General features: G+C 41.4%; 1 protein-coding gene and 1 long non-coding RNA gene across 29 annotated transcripts in view, besides 1 other annotated feature; one reads left to right on the plus strand and one right to left on the minus strand.

The window, feature by feature from the left end:
- Positions 1 to 20,677, minus strand: part of MPPED2 (metallophosphoesterase domain containing 2) — a 202,912-nt gene extending 182,235 nt beyond the window's left edge. For 9 of the 27 annotated variants that reach the window (NR_165336.1, NR_165339.1, NR_165341.1 and 6 more), the window contains exons 1-2: positions 19,729 to 20,040; positions 13,933 to 14,181 (exon numbers count right to left, since the gene is read on the minus strand). Coding sequence is in view for 12 of the 27 variants with exons in the window: in NM_001145399.3 (NP_001138871.1) it covers positions 13,933 to 14,060 (128 nt within the window). In the remaining 15 variants the exon portion in view is untranslated. Of the gene's footprint in view, positions 1 to 152; positions 176 to 3,764; positions 3,940 to 13,932; positions 14,182 to 16,561; positions 17,888 to 18,152; positions 18,410 to 18,844; positions 19,242 to 19,728; positions 20,041 to 20,479; positions 20,560 to 20,662 lie in introns of those variants that run through there. The other 18 variants (NR_165344.1, NR_165343.1, NM_001377952.1 and 15 more) reach the window with 13 other exon arrangements.
- MPPED2-AS1 (MPPED2 antisense RNA 1) overlaps positions 17,837 to 21,204 on the plus strand; it is a 49,179-nt gene continuing 45,811 nt past the window's right edge. The window contains exons 1-2 of one of the 2 annotated variants that reach the window (NR_183761.1): positions 17,837 to 17,920; positions 18,280 to 18,648. This is a non-coding gene — a long non-coding RNA (MPPED2 antisense RNA 1). Of the gene's footprint in view, positions 17,921 to 18,279; positions 18,649 to 21,204 lie in introns of those variants that run through there. The other variant, NR_183760.1, reaches the window with a different exon arrangement.
- Positions 19,945 to 19,994: a silencer, noted in NCBI's record as "silent region_3217". NCBI's record gives its function as "represses an Ori minimal core promoter by ATAC-STARR-seq in GM12878 lymphoblastoid cells {active_cell/tissue: GM12878}" and the evidence as "EXISTENCE:reporter gene assay evidence [ECO:0000049][PMID:35858748]".

The following is a 21,204-nucleotide window of genomic DNA, read 5'->3' on the forward strand; positions in this document are numbered from 1 at the left end:
AATATAGAAAACCCAAATCTCTAGGGTCACATTGAAAGTGGAAGCTTTGATATTTTTTCCTATGTTAGAAATGAGAGTTTACTACTGTCAAAGCAAAAGTCAACTGAAGGCAGAGATGATAGCATTAGTGTACGAGTATCAGAAATACTCACTCTGAGCTTCATCCAGCTCCATCCTGAAAAAAACACGGGAGACTTACATAAGTTACCCTTTTTAAAGCCAAGTACACCCTCAAGTCTACATACATGCTCTCAAAATGAATGAGTGATTACAAGGCAGCACTCACTTCCTGGGGAAGCACATGTTAATTCCTCGAATCCTTGCAAACTCAGCTTTCATTCATTCATTCATTCAACAGGTGTTGACAGAGTCTCCAGAACATGCCTAGCATTGTGATAGGTGTTGTGAATACAGACAGCAAAAAATAAATAAAACGAAAAAGATAAGGTCACTGCCCTCATAGAGCTTATATCCTAGTGGAAGACACACATTTCACCAACAATTCAAGAATATATTTAAGATAAGTGCAGCCAAAGGACAGTATCACTCACAGGTTCTGGGAGTATGTATAAGGGGACACCTAATCCAGAGAGAAGGACAGGGGCTCCCTAAAAAGGGGACAAAGCTAGAGAGAGAAAATAGTGTTTAGTGAAGAAGACTGTCAACATTCTTTTGTGACTCAAAGTTTACGGCCACGGATCAGCCTGTTGTTCTCTGGCACCTCTCAGTATCTCTCTACTTGAAAAAACAAAAAATACAGGAGGTGTGCCTAGAAAGCTGGACTTATAATGCATCTTTCCTTCAATGTCAGCAGTAAATCCAGACGGTTTTGAAGACCTTGGGAAAAATTCGGTGGACAGATCACCAAAGTTGGCACTAACTCTTGCCAAAAGTCTGGCTGGCACCAATGCACAGACCAAATTGGCCATAAAAACCTCACTGTAGTCTTGTTCCTCTCAAAGGAAATCATTTTGCGATCAACAATGAGGCTTACCCAGAGGCCAGTCTTAGGGGCAGGCCTAGAATTTTGAGCTTAACTCAATTGCACGGTTTAGGGCAAGAGTTTCATGTTTCAGATGTGCAGTCAAGTAATTTGATCCCATCAGAGTTTTAATGTCTCCTAAAAAATCCAAAGTGTTAAATCCTTTTTCCCAGCCTCCCCGAGAGCAATCAGGGGGTGCTTTTTTTCCAGCTCCCAATCTCCTCCCTCCAGTTTCTTATTCTCATACTCAAACAGTTACTAAGTGACTAATTTAATACATTGGCTACACGTCTTAATCCCAAAGTCTGATTATAATCTGTGTTCTAAAGTAGTGCCCAAGCACTTATCCTGTTCTCTTTGAAAAACACTGAGAAAGAAGACATACAAGGATAGTGAAAGTGGAATATTTAGAAATGGTGCTTTATTTCAGGGCCAACACTATTATCATGAACCCCTATAAACTTGAGAACATTTTCACCCAAGCAAATTCCACAACTCCAGTAAAAGACACATCACTGAGAGTTACACTGTCTCAGGCAGCAGGCAAGGAGCTAAGTGTTTATTAAGTCTCTGCCCCTGGCTACCAGGTTAACAGAGACTCAATCCTTCCCTCCCTGTGTCTCCCTTGGGAGAGAGCAAAACCCTAAAAACTTCTTCACAAGAATAAAACAGACACACCAAACTTAAAGGCACGAAAAAACTTATAGTGATGATGGACTACATATCACTATTAAAACTGCAGAAGCTCATGTTAATGTTTTAGAGGCAATAAAGACACACAATATTATTAACAATAATAGCCACCATACATGGAACATTTAGATACTGCACTAAGTGCTTTACTGGGCACTAAGCATTATCTTCTATAACCCTCACCATTACTTTTTGAAGCATATATGATTATGATCCCTGCTATAAAGATAAGACACTAGTAGTAGTTCTGGGTATACTTTTTTTTTCTTTTTGGAACTTCTCAAATGACTTCATTTTTAAATATGTTAATGGTGCCCAGATTTCTGCTTAGCAACAGTCACTCTATTCTCAAATGCTCCCTCTAAAATACAAACCTTCATTCTTTCCCTCTCTCTCTCTTTCATGTTCTTTTGTTTACCGTTTTATGAAGATGTTAAGCTCAACCATGGTTCCTGCAGCCTGTGGTACAGCACCCTGCAAAACAGTGCTATCTGTTTATAACATGGCACGACCCTTCCTGCAGAGTGTGAGACCAGAACTAAAATCCACTAATGACTAGACAGCTCATTTTAATTCTACACTTGACAAAATAAACCCCTCATAAAGACAGGCAGGCAGAAGCTACTTCTCACTCTGGACTGCTTTGTATTAATAATCTTTAAAAAGTGGCTGAAGGGAACAGGCCCTAGCATACAAAAAACGCAATTATGGCATAAAGAGATTGGGATAAAAAGCAAAACCCCTTATTTAAAGTTAAATTATTTTTTCCCTCCAATGGGGGGTACCTGTCACTAATGGTCTGTCTTAGACCACTGCTGAATTGCAAAGGTTCTTTCAGTGCAAATCCTGGCTGCACTAGTGGGATCTCACTGAGCCCATCTGAAAAACCAGGGCACTTGATTTCCCTAAAACCAGCTCCCAAAAGGGCTCATTTTTTTTTGTTCTCTTTTGTCCACAGAAAATGAAGCTCCACTTACATGTTGGAGGAAATATTTCAAAACATTCCCTTTTTTCTCAAAGTGCAAAATTTATAGTAACAGATAATTAACAACAAATGACAAACAATCTGAGCAGTAAAGGTCCCAGTTTGGTTGCCAAGATGATGGGATCAAATTCCAAGATAAACAGTGGAGCGTGCCGACAGCCATTAACATCGTGGTGGGGTCGAGATGGAGAGATGCAAAACAGGGGAGCCATCCACCACCACCGAGGGGCACAACGTGGAGCAAACAGACTCCCACGGGATTATTATTTCCCTTCCGAATTCTCAGGAGGATCAGTTGCAAGAGGGGTTAGAACAGGACTCACACCACTGTACCAAACAGGATACCCAAGCCTTTACATGTATTTTACATGAAGAAAGCATTAGACTTTTTGAATTGCATTATGGAAGAATTAAGAATTAATATCCTTTAGGAGTCAACACCTCCTAGCCTGTTTGTTCTTTCCTCACCATTCTTCTCTCTAAGTTTATTGAGTCAAGAAAGGTTTCAATGCTACCGGCTGTACCCAAAATGTATGGGTGAAGAATAAAGTGAAAACAAGTTAACCTGTAAAAGTCAGAATTTGAGCACAACATATGGTAAGTCTCCCAGATACTAACAGATGGCGAACCTTGGGAAATCACAACTTCAGATAGTCTTACATCTCTCGAAAGTCAGTTCAGAGTTCACTATTTGTCAAATGATTTTTTAAAAAATATTGAAATACAAGCCTAAAAGTTTTGAATTATCCCAAAAATCATTCCTTCTCAGAGATCAACATAGGTCAAAGTATCAAAAGTTGCTATCCTGATCCTTTCATATGCTAGATTCATTGGTATATTGAGTCGGCACGTGTACCCTAGAAAGCCAAGTTGCAATTTTGTCTCATCTCCCTGTTGACTGAAGTCTAGGGATGCTGACCTGCTCCCGGTGCTAAAGTCAAGCCCAAGGTCAGGACATCGTAACTGACAAGGAAGAGTTATGATCTCACAAACACATCTGCTATATATTCCCTCCTACTTTTTCCCTCTCTCCTTCACAAATACGCCCATTTCTCCTCTTGTTCCCTCTATAAAATTCATCTTCCCATTATATTCCCTGCCTACCTGCCTTGGGCTGTTTGAGATGCTATTAACAAAATAGCGTAGACTGGGTAGCTCATAAAAGACATGCATTTATCTCTCACAATTCTGGAGATTGGAAAGTCCATGATCAAGGCAGATTCAGTGTCTGCTGATGGCCCAATTCCCAGGTCACAGGCAGGCATCTTTTCACCGTAACCTCATATGAAAGAAGAACAAGGGGTTACTCTGGGGCCTCTTTTATAAGGGTTCCATCCTCATGAGAAAATCACCTCTGAAAGTCCCCACCTCCTAATACCACCACCTTGGGAGTTAGGATTTCAACATATGCATTCTGGAGGGGTACAAATATTCAAACCATAGCACTATCCAAGCAGAACCAGTACATAAAAGTCGTATCATTCTTAAACATAGAATGTATTAAATAAAAGGTGCTAAGAGCAATAGTTAAGATTTTATGATTAAAAAATCGAATACAGTTTGATAGGCTTCGGTGGTTATCTTTGAAGTCTCCAGGCAAAGCAAAATAAAACAAACTGGAGAAAAATTTCCCAAAACTCAGGACTTAAACGAGCTAGTAAAATGCCTATGTCATAGAAGAAGGCTAACTCTTTCAGTAAATTAGGGAAACAGGCTGAGCTTGCTTAGCTGGTGGGAGACTTAATTTTTTTCTTGATTTCAGTTTAAAGTCTTTGTTCAAAACATATTTTAAACTAAGTGTACAAATATGTACAAGGTTTGAAACTTGGTCCTTGGCCCAAATACCTAAAGCCAAATACCACAAGTAAGCCACTTTTCTTAGCCAATCAGTATAAATGCCAAAAAAGCCCACAGCAAGACAGGAAAGGATATTTTTCCAATCCAAGAATTATCAAATCTTTGAGCTGGAAGGTTTCAGAGACAGTCTGTACAAAGAAATAAGTGAGTTTCAGTAGAGTCCATGTTTTGATGTAGAGTCCTGCAGTTTTTTAAGGAAGCCACTACCAACAGAGGAACTTCGGTAATGGTCTAATTCTCACTTAGGATTTTAAAGCTCAATACTATCAAATGTGAAAAAGTTATCTGTTCCCTATATTCCATGGTGATGTTAGCTTTCTTTTTCTTTTTTTTTTTTTAAACTAGTTTCAACAGCTCTGAGGCTTAATAAAAACTTGCACAAAAATGTAAATCAACTAGAGAAGCTTATATTCTTGATTTGTGGTAAAGAAGAAAAAAATAAAAAAATCTGCAAAAATGCATTTTCTTATTTGCATATATTTTGTCCCTTCTACAGGGACAGAAATTGAATAAAACCAATCTTCAAAGAAAAATAGAATAAAAATATGTAGACCCAAATAATGCAGGAGCCAATAAATTCAACAGAGTTTCCTCTTTGCAGAGTTAGTGTTTCCACACAGACAAAGCTTCTAAGTGTACCTTTTACATTAAATAACAAAAAAAGAAAAAAAAAGAAGACCAAGATGGTGGTCTGCAAAATTGCAGCAGTTTTGTCCATACTGATATTGAAATAATAGTCTAACCATGCTAGGATAGCTACTTAAACATCTAGTTTCCAGTAAGCTATGAAAGTCTAAAAGGGAAAAAGACATGGGAAGGAAAGAGCTAAGGCAATACTGAAAAAGAAGAAAAACAAACTGATGAATAGATCTTCCAAGACTCAGTAAGCTTCTCCTTTTTGGAAACAGTTCAGAATAATCTAGAGTTTGCTGTGCAGGATGCAGTAGATTTAGCAGCATTAGCTTTGTTTCTACATCTTAAAATCTCATCTTCATAAGCTTTGAAAGCTTAGAATTAAAATCGAGTATGTTGCAAACACAAACTACCTATTTCATTACAGCCTGTTTGGCTTGTCTTGCCACTTGAATAATTTTTACCAAAATATCCCCATGAAAGAAGTTTAGAAAACAAAAATTGTATTTAGAGCAGGAGATAGATAGATTCAGTCTGTAAGGAGAGGTGATCTGATGGCTCCTAGTTGCAGGATATGTCTATGAGTTGACGATGACTATGCTTTCTCTATGAGTCGTTCTTTATCCCTACAAATGTAGGTAACTTTCCAAACCCAAAATCCAGGTATAACATAGAAGATAGGATTTGTTTTATTTCATCAAAATTCTTTACCCTCCCAGAAAGTCAAGTAGCCAACAAACAAATAAACAAAAACCACTGTCCAATTATGCAACATACAGCTAGGGTTCTAGGAACAAATTCCTATGGACAAAAAGCAAATCTAATTTTAGATTGCTTCTTTAATGCTTGAGTGCAAACAAAGAAATGTACAGAATAGGGAAAAAGTCAGCTCTAAAATGAAGTCCAACTGTCACGGACCACAAGACAGGTGCCCTCAGGGAGTGTATAGGAAAAAGAACGTATTTTTAAGAATAAATGAGAGAAGAAAATAAAAATATCCAGTGTTTATATATAAAGTGCAAACTAAAAGGACAATTCAGCATTTCTATGATGAATTTCAGATTGAGAACATTTTACAAATTATGGCCATGCTAATGTGCAGGACAGTGATGAATCTGTAATGAAAATAAGAAAGTGGCTTACCAAGAAAGAAGTGTATGTTTAGAATTTTTTTAAAACAGCAAATGCAGCCCAACTCTGTAACAAAATAAATTTCTACCTTGTTAGTAAGTGCCATTTTACAGAGTCCCAGACATTCATTCATTCATCCACTGATATGACTTTTCCTCTGTGTGAGCGTTAGGGGTCATTTCTCTTCTCTCACCACCATATCCCAATGATGTCTCTATTATATTCTTTCCCTAAAGAATATGACTAATGATGTGGGATTTGTGTTCTTAATTTTACATGGACAAATGTAAAGGTAAGGAATAGGAGAAATCCCAGACTGTTAAAAGGGGAAGAGATGATGCTAAGACCATTACGTCTATTGGCTGGTAAGGAACCTGAAATTCAGAGAGGCCCTACTTGCTAAATATCAGAGCTGATTAGTGATCACGACAGGACTAGAATGCAGATTCCCTGAAACGCTATCAAGAAGTCTATTACTGTATACTCTTTTAGCTTCCCCAAATGGATTTGAAAATACAGTCATGAGCTGCATAATGACATTTTGGTCAATGACAGACCACATATATGAAGGTGGTACCATAAGATTACAATGGAGTTGAAAATTTTCTATCGCCTAATGACATTAGCTGTCATAATGTCATTGTGGTGTAACTTATTACTCATGTGTTTATGGTGATACTGGTGTAAACAAACCTGCCCTGCCAGTGGTATAAAGTATAGCACATCCAATTATGGATAGTACATCATATTTGACAATGAAATAAATGACTCTATCACTGGTTTGCTTATTTGCTGTATTATACTTTAGTTGTTATTTTAGAGTGTACTCCTTCTACTTATTAAAAAAACAAAAACAAAGTTAACTAAAACCCTGGCTGCCTCAGGCAGGTCCTTCAGGAGGTATTCCAGAAGAAGGCATTGTCATCACAGGAGATAACAGCTCCATGCCTGTTACTGCTCCTGAAGACCTTCCAGTGGGACAAGATGTGCAGGTGGAAGGCAGTAATATGAATGATCCTGACCCTATGTAGGCCTAGGCTAATGTGTGTTCATGTCTTAGTTTTATACACACACACACATTTTTTATTTCAATAGCTTTTGGGATATACGTGGTTTTTGGTTACATGGATAAATTGTTATAGTGATGAAATCTGAGATTTTAGTGCACCCATCACCTGAGTAGTGTACAATGTATCCAACATGTAGTTTAAATCCTTCATTCCCTTCCCACCATGTCTTAATTTTTAACAAAAAGCTTAAAAAGCAAAAAAATAAAAATAAAAAAGTTTGGTACAAAAGCAGCTTATAGAATAAGAATATAAAGAAAGAAAACATTTTTGTACAGCTGTACAATGTATTTGTGTTTTAATCTGGCTTATAAAAGAGTCAACAAGTTTTAAAAAATTAAAAAGCGTATAAAGTAAAAAAGCTACAGTAAGCTGTTTCTTACTTTATTGTTGAAGAAACAAAAATATTGTTTATAAATTTAGTGTAGACTGTTTATAAAGCCTACAGTAGTGTTTAGTAATGTCCTAGGCCTTCACATTTACTCACCGCTGACTCACTGACTCACTCAGAGCAACTTCCAGTCCTATATGCCCCATTCATGTAAGTGCCTATAGAGGTGGACCATTTTTAATTTTTTATACTCTACCTTTCTTATACCTTTTCTGTGTTTAGATATATTTAGATACACAATAGTTATTATTGTGTTACAATGGCCTACAGTATTCAGTACAGTAGGATGCTATATAGGTTTGTAGACTAGGAGCAATAGGCTATACCATATAGCCTAGGTGTATGGTAGGTTATACCATCTACGTTTGTGTAAATATACTCTATGATGTTTGCACAAAGACGAAATCGCCTAGAAGATGCATTTCTCAGAATGTATCCCTGTCATTAAGTGACACCATACTTCTTTAAAAATTTCCAATCAGTTATAAGACGACGAAGTAGGCAACACTGTTCTCATCTTCCCACACTTGAGCAAGTTGAGTTATACTGAACCAATGAACAGCCTTTGGCCTATTCCTTGATTGCAATATAAAATAGAAGAAGGTGCTACCCAAGAAAGTGAGTACAAAAGAAAATAGAAGATTTGCATCAGATCAAGACTTTAAAGCAAATATTACAGGCCAGGCATAAGGACTTGGAGACAAATTACATTTTTTATCAATTTAAAAAAGTTTTAATCATAAAAGTGTTACATACTTGTTGTAAGAATAATTCAAATTATATGAAAGTATAAGAAATAAAAAGTAAAAGGTCCTTATCCAACACTCCCTCCTGCAAATTCAGTTCCAAATGTATTCCCTAAAAATCACCAGTAATGTTATTTATCCTTCCATACACTTTTATATAGTTATTTAGCCAAATGACACCTTTTCTATAACACTCTTCTGTAACATTGTTTTTATACGTAAGCATATCTAATACAGAACTAAAACAAACATTTACTTCCTACCACATTCTTGAACTGAATAAGAATGAAATCTCAGATCAGACAAACAAAATCTTGTAGTACTTTGGCATGAAATAATCACCCAGATACCCTAAAAGCTACAGATTTTTTTTTTAACTAGCGATGGCCAAGCAACACTGACAGATACTACACAATACAAAATAAAACAAGTTGGACTTGTCAGGTTTCATATAGCCAAGTAGTTTAGAAAGGAAAATGTTAACAACTTATCTCATACTCATCAGCTGGTAGACAATACCATATATATTATCATAAAATCTATTTATCAAGTGGTATCTTTTGGGCACTATATGTCATTATATATCATTTCATTTAATGCTCACAACCATATTAAAGGGTCATTAAACCTATTTTACAGATGAGAAGACAGGTTCAACAATTTTTCCATCATCACCCAGCCACGCCAGTAACTGGCAGGATCAGTATTTGTATACAGATCGCTGATTTCAGACCATATTCTCAGCTACCATGTGTATATTGTCCTCATTCCCCAGCCCAAGCTGTGCCTTTTGCACTCAATCCTGGTTAATTACAGATAGCGCTTGATGTTTTTGTTTTAACCACAGATAGAGATAGGAAGTCTAAGAAACTGACTGGGGTACAGAGAACCTAGGTCCAGCTCATGTGGAGGAAGGCCACTGTGATTCCACAGACAGCAACCAGTCAGCACTCAGCTCACAAGATTCCATCCCCGCCTTGGGACTGCCACTCCCGTGGAGTAACTGGAGGTGGATGAGACACTCCTAGGCTGTTTATAATCTTGAAAGGCACTAAACCGGGACACTTGCCAACCCTGACAAACCAAAATCCCACCTAGAAAAGTTTCCATGACTCTTTGCTGCTCATAGCTCCATGAGGAAGAAAGGACAAGATTTAGCAATGACTTTATTTATTCATTTGTATACACTCCACTGCTTTTCAAATGAATTGGCAGTTTAAAATTAAAAACCCAGAATCAATGAAAAAATTATTAATGATAACAGCTAACATTTATTGAGCATAGACTATGTATGTATAAGCATTAACATGTAATACTGTTTCATCCTTCTATCCTCCACAGCCTTTTGAGATAGGCATTACTTTTATGGTCCGGATCTTACAGATAGAAAAATAAAACATAAGGAAGTTAGAGTATGTATTCACAGTTGGTTATACAGCTAGTCAGTGGTGCAAGCAAATGTTAAACCCGGTAATCTGATTCCACAGGTGATATTGACCACTATGCTAACCTGCCTCCACAGAACCAGGGTAAAAGAACAAGTGCAGTGTAAGATTCAAGGGGTGTTAACAACAGAAGGCGCAGATAAGGAAAGTGGCTAAAACTGAAAACAAGGCTTGATTTGAGTTCCCTAGTCGTCAATCCTTAAAGAAAAACATGAAGAATTAACCTGAGTAGGGTATCCTATTGTCCTATGGCATTCCAATAACACGGGGATTTCAATGCTAAAACTGAAATGGCTGGATACCCTACTAATAAAGTTTTGTAACATTTGATTAGGCCTCAGATTATGAAACACATACAAAATCTTTATGGTGTTTTCAGACCTACATTGGCTCCTTCAGCACCTCCTCCCACCATCATTAAAAATACTAAATAATTTTTCTTATCATTCTGCTTGGGAAAGATGAAGGGGTTGTGGAAAAATGAAACCCTGTTAATTGCTGGGCTTCAATCATCACATCTATTAGTATGCTCAAGAGTCTGGGTAAGTGAGGCACACAAATTCTAGGTTAAATTTTGCTCTGCCAACTCCAGCTGTGCTTTAATTTTCTTTCCCAAGGTCATACAGGATTGCTTTCTAAAAAAAAAAAACTTCCCTCCATAACAAGCAGAGATTCAAGCCAGTCATTCTTAGAGAGCTTGGTGGTAATCTTGTCAGAACTCAGAGATGAAAACTAAACCAATGCTTCTTAAAGCTGTTTGAAACATCAGCTCTGAAATCAGCAATGAGCTTCATGAAGATGGGGACTGGGTCTTATTTATTTTTGTTTCCTTAATAGCATCGCCTTGCAAATAAACATTGTCTTAACTGCAATCTTAATCTTAGCAAGTCAGAGCTAAAAAGATCCTTAACCATCATTTGGTGCAAATATTTACAGATGAGTAAACTGAGACTTGGAAAAGAAAATTTGTTAGTCACAAAGCTGAGCTGAGACTAATTGAATTAAATGGGAAGTGAGCTCTTCCTAATTAAGGTGAAAAACCCCAACTACCATCACAAGGCTGTAGAAAAGAAAGTAAGACATCATTAAAGGGATAGGGTTTTTAACTATAATCCAAGTGATCTGTCAGGGGTCTTCAGAAATCTCAAGTGTAAGTGAAAAAAGGAAGCAAATAATTTAACAATCCCATGCAAAATAAATGAGCAACTACGCAAGTGGAAAAGACAAAATATCTTTACCTCGGGGAGAGGAGCAAAGTTCTGCCATGACATGTTGAAATTTTCAGAAAAACTGAAGACATTTTAGACTAAATATTTTATAGATATTTTCTAGCCAATTAAAGTTTCTAATTAGATTAAGGCCAATTTTTGTTTCTTAACATAACAGAAATATGACATGATTAAATCCAACCAAGATCCCTGACCACCTACCATAGGTCAGTCACTGTGTGAGGCCATCAGGCCTACAAAACAATGGCATGTTCTCAAGCAAGAAAGAGTAAAGCCAGGGAAAAGGTAAGCCAGCCTCCTGACAACACGTACCATCATGAAAACATTCAAAATGTCAAGAACTGACAGAAAAATTCCAGTGAAAATCTCCAAGCATCAATCTATTCTCTCTATTCAATGCATAATCAAATCAATGGATCAATTGACCAGTGTTTTTGAGCATCTGTCACCTGCTCAGAAGAACAAGCCTTTCTTTAAGAAGTAAAAAATTAAAAGAATAAGAGACAGATAGGCAGATAGATAGATACAGATAGGTAGATAGGTAGGTAGGTAGACAGAGAAACAGACAGATTAAGAAAAATAATAATGGAGGTGGTATAAAGTGTTGCCAAGTAACTTGGGCAGGCATGATCATTTTGGATTGGAAACGGATAGGTAGAAAAGGCTTAAGTGGAGGAACCTAAACTAGCTTTGAGGCATTTGATGAGCAGAGCGTAAATGTGTTACGCTCTGTAAGAAACAGTGATGGCAATGGCACCAAGATGGAAGGTGCTAAGATGTGTTCAGATGACAGGGAGCCAAACTGTGTGGCTGAAGCAGAGGGTTCAGATGGGAAGCCCTTATTGGCAATAAAAGTGAAAAGGTACACTGGAACTAGCCTGTAGAAGAATCCTCTATTCCAAGATCAGGAGTCTGGTGAAAGCACTACACAGCTGTCTAGGTTGCCCCATTTTCAAGCCATTTTTTTCAAAAGAGGTATAATTTGATCCTTCAAATTTGTTATGGCTAGATAAAAGCAGATCAACTTTAAAGTTACATGATTTTTAAAATATCTCTGTGCATTCACAGTTCGCCAGTGGAATCTTGAGGCCAAGAACAAGTGAGCAGATGTCTGCAGACTTGAGAACTAAGCTGAGGTTCCCCAGCAGTCATTTTCCAAGGAATCTGGGCAAAACACACTTTGTTTTGCTTGAATGGAAACAGCATCTACAAAGTTCCTTGTAGTTCTTTAATACAAAAACATAACACCAGCAAAACAGAACTGAAGCTATTCTAAAGTATGGCTTACACAAATATTGTAACATATTTGAAGAAAAACAAGTAAATAGAAACAGTAGAATAAAAAGAATATTTGAATTAAACAGATATTTATTGTTCAGAAAAGCTATTTTAACAAAGAAAAACTTTATCCATTTTTCCTTAAAATCATGTTAGCGATCCTTCATAATCATGAATATATTCTCATTTAAAGAACGTATAAAGTTCTTTCAAATAGTTTAGCAGTAACCACTTACAAGGATTGTCTTTTCCTTTTTTTTTTTTTTTTGGTCACTCAAGCATGCTGCTTTAAAACGGCTGCTTTGCAGAAATCTCATCATAGGTAACTGACTCGCTCTCCAGAATATACTTGCAAAGCAACATCCTAGTATTTACACTAATATCCAGGCAGTCAATGGAAAGACCCTTTTGTTTGGTTAGCGTTTGTAAATTCCAGGGTGGGGGGGTGTGTGTATTTGGGGTGTCCTACTATTTTTTTTTAAATGCTCATGTAAAACAATTCCTAAAAAAAGAGCTTGTGACTTGGACATGCCCCGAGTTCAATTCTTCCAGGAGTGGTAAAAACAGTCAACAGAGCTCTAACCTCCTTTCTATCTTGACTATACAATAGTTTTCAAAGAGGTTTAGTCCTACTATGAAAGACTCATGTTAGACATTGGAAGGGTCTCATAGAGAATGAGCACCAGGCCTTGAATAAACAAGAGAGATGGTGACCTTTTGCTCCCTTCTTCTGAAAGCCCAGCACATCCTGTAGCAGAGGACCAGAAAAAAGTTGATGTGCAACCAGGTGCTGCAAAATCCTTGCCTCTGGGTTTCTGCCACACTTTGCTCCTTAAACAGTTTAAACCTCAACATGACTTAAATAGTATTAGGGAGTGAGAGGAAAGTACAATTCCTGGAACCAACTGTTCCACTGTCCCTTATTCCTTTGTTCCCCATATTGTTTGAGTCCTGTAGCATGCAGCACACGTTTCACTAGCAACAGGCAAGACAATGGATCTAGCAGTAGCTGGACAATTAGTCCCAATTAGGCCTATTTCCCAGCTGAATGTAAAGGGCTAGTGGGGTGAGGTGTGGGAAAAAAAAAAAAAACTACAGAAATTTTAAAGAAATATTTCAGAATGGAGGCAAGCAATACAATGTAAAGCAAATTGAACTAGGGGTCAGGAGTCTCAGGCAAATTCGCTGTGTGGCAAATACTTTAACCTCTCTGTTCTTTTCCGTTCTTATCTATAAATAGGGGCAACCAACCACCAGTCCTCAGAGGCTCTGAAAATCTAATTTCAATTGTGGTTGAAAGTGCTCTGAAAATTTGAAATGTTACACAGATGTATGGGATTCCTCCTGAGCTGTATTTGAAACCACAGATATCCATCTGATTTGTAAATCATTTACCTTTTAGTCTCCCTAGCAGAAGTTAATAGTGAATGCTTTTCTTTTTTTTCTTTTTATTTTCTTGATTGCTAATTTTGTTAAGTTCATAAGCGATACTTACATATGTACATGTGGAGGCTGGAATCTGCTCTGGTTGATGTTGTAGTGCGTGAATGCCTGGGTGGGGTTTGAGCTGTACTCATCCACCGTTATGGTAACTTTGCCTTGAGAAGGAATCCCATGTGCCATCCTTCCTCCCTATAGGCATGAGCAATTCACAACTTTACAGAGCAAAAGATGGAAGCAGGCATGGTGCGTTTCAGCCAACCTCTGAATCCAAGGATCTACTCATCAATACCGCTGTGCATTTCTGAAAGAAAAAAAAAATGTATATAAAATGAGAACAAAGAGAAAAAGGGTGTTCTAAGAGACATAAATTTAACATCTAGACATGAAACTAGTTCAGGGAAAATCTGAATATGTGTTGTTGGCTCATGGATACAACTGTTCCCAACTCTCTTCCCTTCATGCACTTCAAAGTGGATATTACACTCTATACATATTGCTGGGTGCTAGCAAATCTTCTCAATGGAGTTCAAACTAAGATTTCCTCTTTAATTATAATTATGGCACTTAGCGTGAATTACGGAAGGGGCATATCCACCGTTGCCATGGCATCTGGCTATACATGGTTTGTGCTCCAAGTGAAGAATCTTCCAAACCTGCCCTGCTAATTGGAATGTTTGGTCTTTACAAAGTTGGTGTCACGTAATCATTTGAAAGCTCCATGTTTAAAGCAGCTATATAACACAATGACAGATAAGAATTTAAAATGTTGTGCTTATAACAAATACATGTGTATTACTATAACATGCACATAATAACCACACATTACACATATTTTTTTCTTTCACAAGCAGCTCCCAAAATACACAGGTAGGCAATGCTTGGCATTCCTCACTGGCCCAGAACCTTATGGTAAGGCAAATCTTTCTTGTTAAATGTAGTGTCATTTTTTTCAACACTCCAGTCACTCAGGGGAAAACCAAACACCTCCAGGTCTGGACCACCACTTTGAATGCATTCATTACCTCCCTTCTTCAAGCCCCGATGGAGCGGTAAAGAAGGGCGGCCATTACATCTGCCACCTCATTCTTGGTGCAACGTAATTCTCAGTAATTGGTTTCATTTTTTAAAATTTCCATTAGTTCTGATTTTTTCATAAATGTCAATATATTATTTGCTGCACTGGGTTGAGAAATGAAGATGTCTATTTTTATGGTAGGTGTGCAAAGGCTGAGGGAAGCAAATTCTCATGTCCAAGTTGTTGCAATTGATCAGTGCGGTAGAGAAGAAGCCGTAGTACACTCCTTGGGTAACCCTTAGGTAACCCATGCTCTTACTTTAAGTGCACAACGTCAGAATAGGTTTGCCATGTGCACCATTAAGCTCTGAGAATCTTATCTGCTATTTCAAATAAAAATATTTAGAATAATAAGATGAGATTTAAAATTGGCATGAAACACCTTAAATATCGAGCAAAAGGCAGATGGCCTGCCATAGGCCATTTATTTTATTATTTTACAACCCGGGGCTTGAGTAATCCCCCATATGCTAGCTGGGCTAAGAAATTCCAGAGTGTTCTACTCAAATCATTGCCTTCTTCATATTAGCAAAGCAAGCTAAATAACACCCACCTTGCCTGCCTTCCTAATGTCAAGTGCACTGCCAAGAGATGAATCCCCGTGCTCTGGCATTTTAAACAAAGTGTCACTTTGGGTTCTCTTTCTTTTTCCTGACTTCATGGGAGGTATGAGTCTTTTAAGCGCCAGATGATAGACAACCAGGCCAGTAGGATTAACTAAATTAAAATCTTTCCCTGCTCCTCTGATGTAAGATATCTATAAGAACTGCTTACAAATCATAATGTAGCAGTTTTCATACCAAGTTTGCAGCTGTTTCCTTAATTTCTCCCACAATTATATTTTACTGTTATTTTGCATAACAGTAAAACACAACACCTGCTTCAAATTGCAGTCCTGTTCTAAGTACTGTAATTCTCTTTTGAGACACAAAGTACCGAGACACTACTGAAGCGCAAAACTGCATAATTGCGTCGCGCTGAAAAGTAAATACAAATGAAAACATCTTCCTGTTATAGAAATGACTGTCATTAAAAAGAATGTTAGCCATCAAAGCACAGAGGGGGAAAAATTCACATTTTCAGACTGTGAGAAGTTAGTGTTTGCATAAATTAGAGAGTGGTGTAAAAATTACTTGACAATTCTTATGTTCATTCTTCCATCAATGTCTATTGTGTGAAATACTGAACATTAAGAAGCAAAGGAAATCAAATTCATGTCTAGACCGCTGTGACCTCTGAGTAACAATCTCTGCACCCAGTACTAGAAAGATTTTAAATGTTTCTGGAGTAAACACACTAATTAAACCAAGCAAATGTGGCCTAGAAATAAAATATACATACCTAATATTTAAACATCTAGGTAATGACTTGTAGCAGTTAGCATGATACCCACCCAAGTTCTACTATTTGAAGCTAAGAAGAGACAGAATTTAGCAGCTGATCAATTTGCACTTCTACATGGTCCGCTTGATCCTAATGTCAACCTTCTCTATCACTGAACATCTATGCCTCTTTGCACCTTTGCCCCAGTAAGACAAATAGAACATCTTTTCATCAGCAAGCACAGGCCCCTGTAACTCTGAAAGGCTAAATGGGTGGCTGGCACCTCATTTGAATTCATCTTTGCCATGTTCCCTTTCAAATGTTTCATCGAAACAGTGCACCTGCAGCGTCTATCTTCTTTAATCTGGAGTCCTTTGAAGAAAATGTCAGACTGAGGCAGAGAGCTTCAAAACTTTCACAGCACCTTTACAGACAAGTCAAGAAAAGGCTTATTTTTTAAAATGCTATGTTCATCCCCACCCGTATCTCAAAATGAACACATCTTAAGAATTTTAAACACAAACACCTGGAAAAGACTTTTTCTTTTTTTTTTTTTTTTTTTTTTTTTTTTTTTGGTAAACTCTCAGAGACAAGGGACAATAGACAAAACCACTTCCTATAACCTGAGAAATTTGGAGAGAGCTTGAAACAAGACAGAAGGATACACTGCTTACAACTATCAAGAAGATGTATATTTAGGCAGTAAAACCTTCCAAATGATCAGATTTTCGTGCATCTCACCCTCTTCACACTTACTTTAACTTTTTACACACAATATTTAAAGACAGCACTATTCTTTTCATAAATTTTCATTTTATACTTCAACACACTTTCCACAAAACAAAGGAACCCAGGACGAAATATCAAGAAGCCGAAAGAAAAATCTAAAAGGGACTGACACTGCCAAACATTCATGCTGGTGCTAGTTTGATTTTTCTCTTTAAAAAGAAAATCATGTGAGTACATTTTGCATTTCCTAGACAGCAATCACTTCTGTCCTTTAAGCTGTACAACTAGCAATATTCTTTTCCAGGAATCTAGTTGGAAAACCTTTTAAAGTCGGCTGGCAATGAAGGGATTAAAAGCTGAGGAATTAAATAACTGTCTCCACCTCCTAGACACCAGAAGTCCAATTTACCAAAACTTTCAAAGCAACAACTCATGACCTCTCTACCCCTGCACTGCCCAGCACAGCCTATGAGAAAAGAGCCCGCGGTTTTCTCGTTTCAACAAGGATGCTCATTTTAATCACTTGCCCCAAGATCTCCAGACCGAGCCTGGCGGGACTTTGGAACTTGCCTGCTCCAAATCCGCCAAATTTCGCTCTCTCCTCCCTCTGCCGCGCAGATCCAGTGCGTTCTTAATTCACGCCCCTACTCTTTTATGCCCACTTCCAGTTACTCATCCCTGTATCTGGGAGCGATGCCCACACGCCTTCCCGGCGGGCTTCTCCGCCAGGGTTTTTTTGGGGGAGGCTGACATAAAGTTCCACGTGCTTCTGTCCACCGAGCGCCCTCCCTCCCACCGCACTTACACCTGAACTTGTCTCCAGCACTGCGGACACCCGGGTGACACATTCTTTCGGAGAGGGAGGGCAAGACTTTTCTCCGGAGCCTCTGGCAACTCGTGGAGTCTATATAAGGTGGGGCGGTGGGGGGCGCGGAATTCTCTACTTTGGATTGGTTTGTTTGTTTTAAATCTAGGGTGGTGGGCAGTTGCGCGAGGCGGGGTGGGGGGTGCTTTATGAACTACACACACACACACACACACACACACACACACACACCACATACACTCGCCCTGCCCTTCTAGGCTCACGGCTGGCTCTTCCCGGCTACAACTTCCCCTTCCTTCCTGAAACACCAGCGCCTTACTCGCTCAGTCCCCCGTTGCCACCTCCGTCACCTCCTCGGCCGCCGCTCCTGCTGGCACTGCTGGCGCTAGCGCTGGCGGCCCCGGGCTCCGCTGGACGCCTATCTTTTTTCTCTCCCTCTTCCCTAGCTCTGGATTGATTGATGACCACCGGCGGCCAATGGCTCTGACACCACGCCATCCTCGGTCGGGCATCACAGCCCCACGTCCCCGACCTCAGCCTCCCGGGCGCGTTGGCATCCCCGAACCCACAGCGCTGAGCCCGAGCCCGGGGCCGCCGCCTCCTCCCTGCTCTACGCCTGGGCGCTGCCAGGTTCCTTCCCTGGAACGGCGGAGAAAGGAAGGGAGGGAGCCAGCGAGCGTTGGAAGGGGGTGTGGAGGCCACGGGATCTCCCCCTCTTCTGACATCTTTTTTCACTTAAACTTTTGTTTGTCCCACCCCCCCGACCTGTTTGTGTTTGTTTGCAGCATCTCAAATCAATTATACATTTTTCATGACCCGCATTTGCACTTAATTTGGGGTGTGTGTGTGAGAGGGGGGTGGTGATGTACTATTATAAATCAACTTCACTGGGGCATCCTTAATTTATTTTCTTGCTGACGGATTCCAACCGGCTCCTGAGCCTCTAGAAAAATGCCCCCTTCACCTCCTAGGCCGCAAAACCCCGGAATTCAAAGGCTTTACAAAGATAACCTTGTTATACGTAAATAGCAAAGAAACTCCTGCCTCTGTAGAGAAGAAATCCGGCGGCAACGGTTACTTTTCCTCGGTACTCGTCCCCCGTCGCCTAGCCTCGACCCCAGCTTGGGTCGCCGGGTCGCTCCGCAGGCTGCGAGCGCGGAGACCCAGGCAGCGGCGGAGAGTGAGGTTGGGGCGCGGGGACGGGGTGAGAAAGAGCCCCGAGCGAGAGCGGCGCGCGCGGGCGGCCCCGGGGGCGGCCGCGGGGCGCAGCCGGAGCACAAAGCTGCGCGGTGCCTTCCCCTCGTCACTGCACCTGGCCTCGGGCCGCCGCGGGAGCCCGGGGATCGGGCCAACACAATGCACCCAGGCCTAGGCCGGGGCGGCTCGAACACATCACCCCGGGACTTTCTAGTAAACAGCTCGCTGAGCCCTCGTCCCCACCCCCATCCCCGCCGCCCGGCTTCCCCAGCTTCTCGCCGATACCCCCTCCTCTCCTCCTAAGAAATCCTGGCGGAGGAGGGAGCGAAGAGGTGGGGACCCCCAGAGGTCGGGGGACTGATGGCTGGAGGGGGTGGAGAAGAGAAGAGGCGCAGGATGGGGAGTCGGAGGGAAGACACCTCCTAAAAAAGAATTTGCTTTCGCTCAGGGGTTGAAAATCAGCCCTCCCCGAGCGCCGAATTGCCCGGGAGGCGCCCGCTCGTGCGGATGTCAGGGGCACCGGGGCAGCCCGGGTCCGCAGCCTCCGAGCCCCTCGCACGCGCCTCTGACAAGGCACCTCTCACCCGGGCTCCGCTTTGTGTGTGCATTTTTTTCCCTTCCTCTAGTGCTCGGCACCGGGCTCCCGGCCGCCTCCTCCCCCTCCCCCGCCCTCCGCCTCCCTTCCCGGGGCGGATTACCTTTCCCGGGCTGCGCTCCGGATCCCGGGGATGCCTTCAGCGCCCGGCGAGCAGGCGATCCATAGCCGAGCGGCCCGAGCCGGCTGGAGGAGCGCTGGGGGCGCGCGGGGGCGGCGAGGGGCGCGAGCGGGCCAGAACCTTCGACCCCGGAGGTCCCGCCGCAGGCTGGGGCTGGGGGCCAGGGGGCGCGGCGCTAGAGGGAGGCGGGGGGAGAAAGGACCCGAGCAGCCTCGATCTGGGGAGAGAGCGAGCGAGGGGGCGAGGAGAGGGAGCGAGGGCGCGGCGAGCCGGAGGGAGAGCGAGCGGTGCAGTGACAGGGACTGCCACTGGGGTCAAAGGAGCACAGCTCCAGGAAGCAGGGCGGCCGAGGCGCCGCTCCGTGCGCGCTCCCCGGCGGGACCCCGCGCCCCTGCACGCCCCTCCCGCAGTCCCTGCCCACTCGGACCCCCACCGGTGCCCCGAAGCCCCAGGGTTTCGAGAGGAGGAGGGAGCCGAGGGCGAGGCCCGGTAGCCTGCTGGTGCTCCCGGGTCAAGCAGGCGGCAGGAAGCTGAGCTGCAAGTTCATCATCATGAGTGCGATCTGCGTAAAAAATGATAGGGGAAGGAAGGCGGGCTACGGTGCCCCAGGAAAAGAAGGGAGCTTTCTCCCAAATGGTGTTCTTCTGCAAAGAGAACACCCAGCTCCCCGCCACCCACCGACCTGCCAGGCTCTGTCAGGAGTCCTGGCACCGTTCCAGGACGCAGGGCTCACCGCAGGGGTAAGGGGAGCGGCTGGGACACTTCGCTCAGACCTAGGAAGGCGACCCTAGGTTCCCTCCCATCTGCTGATCTGAGGCTTTCCTGGGGGAGAGCTGTGCTCCTTTTTCCCCAAGCCTTTCAACACGACAGACACACACACACACACACACGCTCACTCACTCACTCACACACTCACCTCTTTCTCTCTGCAATGTTGCTGAGAAAGAAAAGGCCAACCCAGCTGATCATTTTTTTTACCTCCATGAATTAAGGCAGATTCAGGACAGGAAGGTGAGGAGAGGCAAAGACTCTAATTGTTTCCATTTTCGTCTTTTGGATAAAATTTTCCCCAAAAGATAAGCATGTCAAAAGCATTTTAAAAATCAAACTTAGTCCAGTTTTGTCTGCTACTTTGGAAAATGGAAGAAAAGGTTTTCAGAATTTTGTACAAACAACACAAGGAAAGGAAATGCCGCTGAAATGCTGGAAGACAGAAAACAAGGGAGAGAAGGCTTTTAGAAAACTTGGTTGGCAGGGTTGTCTGTGAAAGATGAGGTGGCCCTGTGATGTTATGCCATTGTCATTGCTGAAAGATTGGGACAGCAACCAGATCTAATTCCTTTCTAGGAGTCAGACTGAAAGATCTGTGCATTCTCTGAAGGGAAATCCAATGTATATATATGTGTGTGAGAGAGAAGTGTGCTAAGTATACTATGTGACAACTGACTAGACATCCTG

Source organism: Homo sapiens, chromosome 11 (genome assembly GCF_000001405.40).
Source record: "Homo sapiens chromosome 11, GRCh38.p14 Primary Assembly".
In the NCBI taxonomy this organism is placed as follows: domain Eukaryota; kingdom Metazoa; phylum Chordata; class Mammalia; order Primates; family Hominidae; genus Homo; species Homo sapiens.